Source organism: Homo sapiens, chromosome 11 (assembly GCF_000001405.40).
Source record: "Homo sapiens chromosome 11, GRCh38.p14 Primary Assembly".
NCBI lineage: Eukaryota > Metazoa > Chordata > Mammalia > Primates > Hominidae > Homo > Homo sapiens.
The window spans coordinates 129,341,947-129,351,021 of record NC_000011.10 but is presented as its reverse complement, the minus strand read 5'-3'; the positions used below and the strand labels follow the sequence as shown (position 1 = coordinate 129,351,021).

Here is a 9,075-nt window from a genome sequence, read left to right as displayed (position 1 = left end):
ACATATGCTTACTTGCAGAGTGAAGGCTAAATGAAGATTGAATGGAAGAGGATAGTATGTAATGGTTATGTGCTATATTAGTCAGAATTTTCCAGAGAAACAGAACCCGTAAGATATATACAGAGAGATAAATAGATCTAAATCTACATCTAGATCTAGATAAGAGGGGTTTTAATTGTGAGAGTTGACCCACTTGATTATGGAAGGTGAAAACTCCCATGATATATTTTCCACAAGCTAGAGAACCAGGAAAGCCAGTGGTGTAATTTAAACTAAGTTTGAAGATGGGAGAACCAGAGTAGCCAGTGGTCTGACTCTCAGTCCGAGGCCAAAGGCCTGAGAATCTGGGGCTGTAATGTCCAAGGGCAGAGGAAGATAGATGGTGAATGGCCCGGCTCCAGAAAAGACAGCAAATGTGTCCTTCCTCTGCCTTTTGTTCCATCCCAGACCTCAAGCGGATTGGATGATGGTCACCCACATTGTTGAGGGCAGAGCTTCTCACTCTGCGCTAATTCAAATGAGAATCTCTTCCAGAGCATCCTCACAGACACACCCAGAAATGGTGTTTTACCAGCTATCTGGGTATTCCATAATCTGGTCAAGTTGGCACCTAACACTAACCATCACATATGGGTGAAAATATAGTACAGCTATATGAGGACATTTTCAACTCGTTTTCAGTAATTAAATATGTGGTGATCATTTTAGTGTTGTTATTCCATGACTGTAAAGTATATAATGTGGACTAAAGCTTACTTAGCCCTATTAGAGAAGTCTAGAAACAGTCACCTAACCTGTAGCAATGAGCATTAGACTTCAATTTAAAACATCATGTCCCACTAAGAGAAACTAGGGCTTCTTGGAGAAATCGCTGAATTTCAGATCTAGGGAAGGAAATGTACAAGAGGAGCCTAAAACATCTTGTCTTTCTACATAGCAAGGAAGCTATCAAGTACTGCTAGGATCCTGCAAGGAAAGAATCAGGAATCAAACTGAAGAAGCTTTTATCGGCAAAAGAAGGTACATTCAGAGCTTCAAAAAGGAAAATACATAATTGCAAGTGTCTGGAATTCCTCAACTATGTTCAAACCTATAAGTTCAAAGTGATATTTTAGAAAACTAAAGCATGTCAAAGAACAAATTCATTATACTGAAAACTGGTAAATAAAAGAAAAGAATCAAAAATTTGCTCTGCCTTTCATATATCAACTGTGTCACTGGGTAACAGATAGTAGACGAGGGGAACTGTCTCCTTATAAAAGGAGTCTAATAAGTAAAAAAAAAAAAAAAAAAACGATAGAATATCACCATTGGGTGGGCACAGTGCCTCACACCTGTAATCCCAGCACTTTGGGAGGCCGAGGTGGGAGGATTGCTTGAGCTCAGGCGTTCAATACCAGCCTGGGCAACATGGTGAAACCCCATCTCTACAAAAAATACAAAAATTAGCCAGGCATGGTGGTGTGCATCTGTAGTCCCAGCTACTGGGGAGGCTAAGGCAGGAGGAGCGCTTGATCCCACGAGGCTGGAAGCTGCAGTGAGCCGAGATCCCACCACTTCACTCTGGCCTGGGCAATAGAGCGAGACCCCATCTCAAAAAATAAGATAGAACTTAAAAAAAGAATATCATCATTTAGCCACACCCAGTGAATTAATAGATCTGATCTTTGAGCATCAACAACTGCTAACATTATAAAACGGGATACTACCAGACCCTATGGTCTTCATCATGAAGACCACAACACTTCCTGTACCCTTGCTGAAGGGATCAAACCTGAAGGAGATCAAGCTCTGTATCCAGCTGTAAATGTTTAGGAAAACAGAGGAATATTTTGAACTGTGCCTGAGTATTCAGCCAACAAAATCTAGATTGAGAGAAACTCTACAGGAATCTATGGGTCAGGAAACCCATGTGAGGACTCTGCCACTTACTAAGTATGTCTGCTCCCTATGCTATACATACAGTCATGCATGGCTTAACTATGGGGACATGTTCTGAGAAATGTGTCATCACATAATTTCACTGTTGTGGGATCATCATTGTGTGTACTTACACCAGCTGGATGAAGTAGCCTACTACACATCTGTGCTATGTGGTAGAGCCATACAGGATACAAATCTATACTGCATGTTACTGTACTGAACACTGTAAGAAATTGTAACACAATGGTAAGTATTTGCATATCTAAACTTACCTAAACATAGAAAAGGTATGGTTAAAAAAAAGGGTATAAAATATTTTAATGGTACATCTGTATAGGGCAGCTTCACTATAATCTTATTGGACTATAGTCATATATATGGTCTGCTGTTGATCAGCATCGTTATGCAGAAATGACTGCACTTGGACTGGGAAAATAACCACAGAACGGGACTGCAATCCCAATGGACTCACAGTGAGACAGACTAGGGCAAGACACCATCATTTATCTGTCTGGAATAAGTTCCCCTTCAGACCAGTGGACCATAGCAGCATTTCAAATCTCAGTATTAGCATCAGTTCAGAGACAATATCTAACAGCCCCTGGATCTTCCTTCCCCTAATTCACAGTTGCCCTGGCAAATGGCTGACGATCCTACTGGAAAACACTTAAGATTCATAGTACACAACTGTGGAAGGTTACATAGTGCTTTCTCAAAAATACCTGGCCAAATTCCCAGTCAAAGGGTTCCGGTGGTTGGGAAGTGGTTTAGGCCTGGAAACCAAGAAAGAAGCAATGAATGCCCACTACAGCAACTCAAGTTAGATTTATGCCCAACAGACCCAGGGTTTTTTCATTTATGCTTGCAGTACCTTAGTGGGCTGTCCATCTATTTCATTTTACATGTCTCATGATTAGTTAGCTATCACTATACATCTTTTTGAGACAAGATGCTCTGATTACTATTCTGATTGTGTAGCTTTTGGGGTAAAGTTGTCCACGTAGTCTGATGTTTAAGCATTTCCACTGGCCTCTCCCACTTTGAGACCCTCATTGTTCACACTGAGATCAAGAAATCTAATTACATTGCAGCATCTCCCCACATCATCTACAGTCTACAGAGGACAACTGGTCATTAAAGAGATTCTCAAGGATGGCAGTAACCCACACCATTGTATTTCTTTTTTAACAGCCTTATTGAGGTATAGTTCACATACCATACAATGCACCCAATAAAGTGTAAATTAAATGTTTTTGAACATATTAGAGTTGTGCAACCATCATCCCAATGAATTTTAGAACATTTTCCTCATCACCGCAACCAACCCCTAAAAAACCCATAGCCATTAGCAATCACTCCCTGTTTCCCACTAACCTCAGACAGAGGCAACCATTAATATACTTTCTGTTTCTATAGATTTGCCTGTTCTGGACATTGCATGTAAATGAAATCACCTGATAAGATTTCATAATATGATTCAAAAGATCACAGTATGATCTTTTGTGACTGGTTTCTTTTACTTTGCATAATGTTTTCTAGATTCATCCATGTTATAGAATGTATCAGCACTTCATTCCTTTTTTATGGCCAAATAATATTCCATTATGGATATACCTACCACATTTTGTTAATCCATTCATTACTTGATGGACATTAAGCTCTCTTCACTTGTTTGCAATTATTAATAATGCTTCTATGAGCATTAGTATACAAGTTTTGGTGTCGACCAAATATATGTGGACATATATTTTCATTTCTCTTGGGCATATAGGAGTGCTGAGTAATATGGTACCTCTATGTTTAACATTTTGATGATCTGCCAAACTATTTTACAGAGAAGTTGCACCATTTTACATACCATAAGCAACATATGAGGGTTCCAATTTTTCCACTGTCTTACCAATACTTGCTATTATCTGTCTTTTTTTTTTTTTATGATAGTCATCCTAGTGAGTATGAAGTGGTATCTCATTGTGGTTTCACTTTGTATTTCCCTGATGACTAATGAAGTTGGGCATCTTCTCATATGCATATTGGCCAGTTGTATATCTTTGGAGATGTGTCTATTCAAATCCTTTGCTCATTTTAAAATTTTGTTCTTTTTTCATTATTGAATTATAAGAGGTTTTTTTGTTGTTTGTTTGTTTGTTTTGAGACGGAGTTTCGCTCTGTCACCCAAGCTGGAGTGCAGTGGCATGATCTAGGCTCACTGCAACCTCCACCTCCCCAGTTCAAGCGATTATTCTGCCTCAGCCTCCCAAGTAGCTGGGACTACAGGTGCGTGCCACCATGCCCGGCTAATTTTTGTATTTTTAGTAAAGACGAGGTTTCACCATTTTGGTCAGGCTGGCCTGGTCTTGAACTCCTGACCTCATGATCTGCCTGTCTCAGCCTCCCAAACTGTCAGGATTACAGGCGTGAGCCACCACGCCCAGCCGAGTTTCAAATATATATTCTGGATACAAGTTTCTTATCAGATACATGTTTTGCAAATATTTTCTCCCATTCTTTGATTTGTCTTTTCACTTTATTGAGTGTCCTTTGAAGTACAAAAAAGTTTTAATTTTTATGAAGTCCTAGTTTATCCACTTCTTTCTTTTGCTACATGTGCCTTTGGCGTTGCAGCTAAGAAGGCATTGCCTAACCCAAGTTCACAAAGATTTAGTTATGAGTTTTATAGCTTCAGTTCTTGCATTTTGTATATCGTGTAAGGAAGGAGTCTAATTTCATTTTTTTTTTTTTTACCAGTTATCTACATCCCGTTGCTCTAGTATCATTTGTTGAAGACTATTTTTTTTTTTCTTTGAGACAGGGTTTGCTCTATCACCCAGGCTGGAGTGCCATGGCGCAATTATGGCTCACTGCAGCCATGACCTCCTGGGTCCAAGTGATCCTTCTTCCTCAGCCTCCAATGTAGCTGGGACCACAGGTGTGCACCACCACACCCAGCTGATTTTTTATTTTTTATTTTTATTTTTGTAGAAACAGGATCTCACTGTGTTGCCCAGGCTAGTCTCAGAGTCCTGGGCTCAAGCAATCATTTTACCTCAACCTCGTAAAGTGCTGGGATTACAGGTATGAGCCACTGTGCCTGGCTTGAAGACTATTCTTTCCACATTGTATTGTCTTGCTGCCCTTTTAAATAGTCAGTTGGCCATAAATGTGAGGGTTGTTTTCAAGACTTTCAATTCTATTCCATTGACCTATATGTCTACCCTTATGAATATCCCACTGTTTTGATTTCTGTAGCTTTGTAGTAAGTTTTGAAATTAGGAAGTGTAAATTCTTCAACTTTGTTCTTATTTTTTCTGTATTTTTGGGGTGGGGGGGCTGTTTTGGTTCCTTTGCATTTTCGTATAAATTTTAAGATAGGCTTGTCAATTGCTGCCAAGATACCAGCTGGGATTTTGATAAGGATTGCACTGAACCTGTAAATCAATTTCAGGAATGTTGCCATTTTAACATTAGGACTTCCAATTTATGAACATGCAATGCCTTTCCATTAATTTAAATTTTCTTTATTTTTCTTTTCTTTCTTTCTTTTTTTTTTTTTTTGAGACAGATTCTGACTTCATCGCCCAGACTGGAGTGCAGTGGCGTAATCTCGGCTCACTGCAGCCTCTGCCTCCTGGGTTGAAGCAATTCTAATGCATCAGCCTCCTGAGTAGTTGGAATTATAGGTGCACACCACCATACCTGGCTAATAACATTTTCTTTCCTGTATTTCAGCAATGTTTTACAGCCTTCAGAGTACATGTCTTGTATTTCTTTTACTTTTTTTTTTTTTTTTTGAGACAGAGTATCACTCTGTCACCCAAGCTGGAGTGCAGTGACACAGTTGGGGCTTACTGCAGCCTCCACCTCCCAAGCTCAAGGGATCCTCCTGCCTCGGCCTTCTGAGTAGGAGTCCCCATGCCTGGGACTACAGGCATGCATCACCATGCCCAGCTAATTTTTAAAATTTTTTTTGTAGAAATGGGATCTCGCCATGTTACCCATCTGGTCTCAAACTCCTGAACTCAAGTGATCCTCCTGCCTCAGCCTCCCGAAGTGCTTACAGGCATGAACCACCACACCTAGTGTTGCAGAATTTTGCTCCTTAGTTCAGCTAAAACCGGGTTTTTGTCACACGACCAGGAAAGATTAGGAATGCAGACACATTGGAGGGAGGAGCCAAGATGGCCGAATAGGAACAGCTCAGGTCTACAGTTCCCAGCGTGAGCGACGCAGAAGATTTCTGCATTTCCATCTGAGGTACTGGGTTCATCTCACTAGGGAGTGCCAGACAGTGGGCGCAGGTCAGTGGGTGCATGCACTGTGCGTGAGCCGAAGCAGGGAGAAGCATTGCCTCACTCCGGAAGCGCAAGGGGTCAGGGAGTTCCCTTTCCTAGTCAAAGAAAAGGGTGACAGAGGGCACCTGGAAAATCGGGTTGCTCCCACCCAAATACTGCGCTTTTCCTACGGGCTTAAAAAACGGCACACCAGGAGATTATATCCGGCACCTGGCTCGGAGGGTCCTACACCCACGGAGTCTCGCTGATTGCTAGCACAGCAGTCTGAGATCAAACTACAAGGCGGCAGCGAGGCTGGGGGAGGGGCGCCCCCCATTGCCCAGGCGTGCTTAGGTAAACAAAGCAGCCTCCGGAAGCTCGAACTGGGTGGAGCCCACCACAGCTCAAGGAGGCCTGCCTGCCTCTGTAGGCTCCACCTCTGGGGGCAGGGCACAGACAAACAAAAAGACAGCAGTAACCTCTGCAGACTTAAATGTCCCTGTCTGACAGCTTTGAAGAGAGCAGTGGTTCTCCCAGCACGCAGCTGGAGATCTGAGAACAGGCAGACTGCCTCCTCAAGTGGGTCCCTGACCCCTGACCCCCGAGCAGCCTAACTGGGAGGCACCCCCAGCAGGGGCACACTGACACCTCACACAGCAGGGTAATCCAACAGACCTGCAGCTGAGGGTCCTGTCTGTTAGAAGGAAAACTAACAAACAGAAAGGACATCCACACCAAAAACCCATCTGTACATCACCATCATCAAAGACCAAAAGTAGATAAAACCACAAAGATGGGGAAAAAACAGAACAGAAAAACTGGAAACTCTAAAAAGCAGAGTGCCTCTCCTCCTCCAAAGGAATGCAGTTCCTCACCAGCAACGGAACAAAGCTGGACAGAGAATGACTTTGATGAGTTGAGAGAAGAAGGCTTCAGAAAATCAAATTACTCTGAGCTATGGGAGGACATTCAAACCAAAGGCAAAGAAGTTGAAAACTTTGAAAAAAATTTAGAAGAATGTATAACTAGAATAACCAATACAGAGAAGTGCTTAAAGGAGCTGATGGAGCTGAAAACCAAGGCTCGAGAACTACATGAAGAATGCAGAAGCCTCAGGAGCTGATGCGATCAACTGGAAGAAAGTGTATCAGCAATGGAAGATGAAATGAATGAAATGAAGCAAGAAGGGAAGTTTAGAGAAAAAAGAATAAAAAGAAATGAGCAAAGCCTCCAAGAAATATGGGACTATGTGAAAAGACCAAATCTATGTCTGATTGGTGTACCTGAAAGTGATGGGGAGAATGGAACCAAGTTGGAAAACACTCTGCAGGATATTATCCAGGAGAACTTCCCCAATCTAGCAAGGCAGGCCAACGTTCAGATTCAGGAAATACAGAGAACGCCACAAAGATACTCCTCGAGAAGAGCAACTCCAAGACACATAATTGTCAGATTCACCAAAGTTGAAATGAAGGAAAAGATGTTAAGGGCAGCCAGAGAGAAAGGTCGGGTTACCCTCAAAGGGAAGCCCATCAGACTAACAGCAGATCTCTCGGCAGAAACCCTACAAGCCGGAAGACAGTGGGGGCCAATATTCAACATTCTTAAAGAAAAGAATTTTCAACCCAGAATTTCATATCCAGCCAAACTAAGCTTCATAAGTGAAGGACAAATAAAATACTTTACAGACAAGCAAATGCTGAGAGATTTTGTCACCACCAGGCCTGCCTTACAAGAGCTCCTGAAGGAAGCGCTAACATGGAAAGGAACAATCGGTACCAGCCGCTGCAAAATCATGCCAAAGTGTAAAGACCATTGAGACTAGGAAGTAACTGCATCAACTAACGAGCAAAATAACCAGCTAATATCATAATGACAGGATCAAATTCACACATAACAATATTAACTTTAAATGTAAATGGACTAAATGCTCCAATTAAAAGACACAGACTGGCAAATTGGATAAAGAGTCAAGACCCATCAGTGTGCTGTATTCAGGAAACCCATCTCACGTGCAGAGACACACATCAAAATAAAAGGATGGAGGAAGATCTACCAAGCAAATGGAAAACAAAAAAAGGCAGGAGTTGCAATCCTAGTCTCTGATAAAACAGACTTTAAACGAACAAAGATCAAAAGAGACAAAGAAGGCCAATACATAATGGTAAAGGGATCAATTCAACAAGAAGAGCTAACTATCCTACATATATATGCACCCAATACAGGAGCACCCAGATTCATAAAGCAAGTCCTGAGTGACCTACAAAGAGACTTAGACTCCCACACATTAATAATGGGAGACTTTAACACCCCACTGTCAACATTAGACAGATCAACGAGACAGAAAGTCAACAAGGATACCCAGGAATTGAACTCAGCTCTGCACCAAGCGGACCTAATAGACATCTACAGAACTCTCCACCCCAAATCAACAGAATATACATTTTTTTCAGCACCACACCACACCTATTCCAAAATTGACCACATACTTGGAAGTAAAGCTCTCCTCAGCAAATGTAAAAGAACACAAATTATAACAAACTATCTCTCAGACCACAGTGCAATCAAACTAGAACTCAGGATTAAGAATCTCACTCAAACCACTCAACTACATGGAAACTGAACAACCTGCTCCTGAATGACTACTGGATACATAACGAAATGAAGGCAGAAATAAAGATGTTCTTTGAAACCAACGAGAACAAAGACACAACATACCAGAATCTCTGGGACGCATTCAAAGCAGTATGTAGAGGGAAATGTATAGCACTAAATGCCCACAAGAGAAAGCAGGAAAGATCCAAAATTGACACCCTAACATCACAATTAAAAGAACTAGAAAAGCAAGAGCAAACACATTCAAAAGCTAGCAGAAGGCAAG

General features: G+C 41.6%; 1 annotated feature.

Moving 5' to 3' along the window:
* Positions 5,451 to 6,333: an enhancer, noted in NCBI's record as "NANOG-H3K27ac-H3K4me1 hESC enhancer chr11:129214584-129215466 (GRCh37/hg19 assembly coordinates)". NCBI's record gives its function as "activates a minimal SCP1, AML or CMV promoter by ChIP-STARR-seq in primed H9 embryonic stem cells {active_cell/tissue: H9 hESC(primed)}" and the evidence as "EXISTENCE:reporter gene assay evidence [ECO:0000049][PMID:30033119]".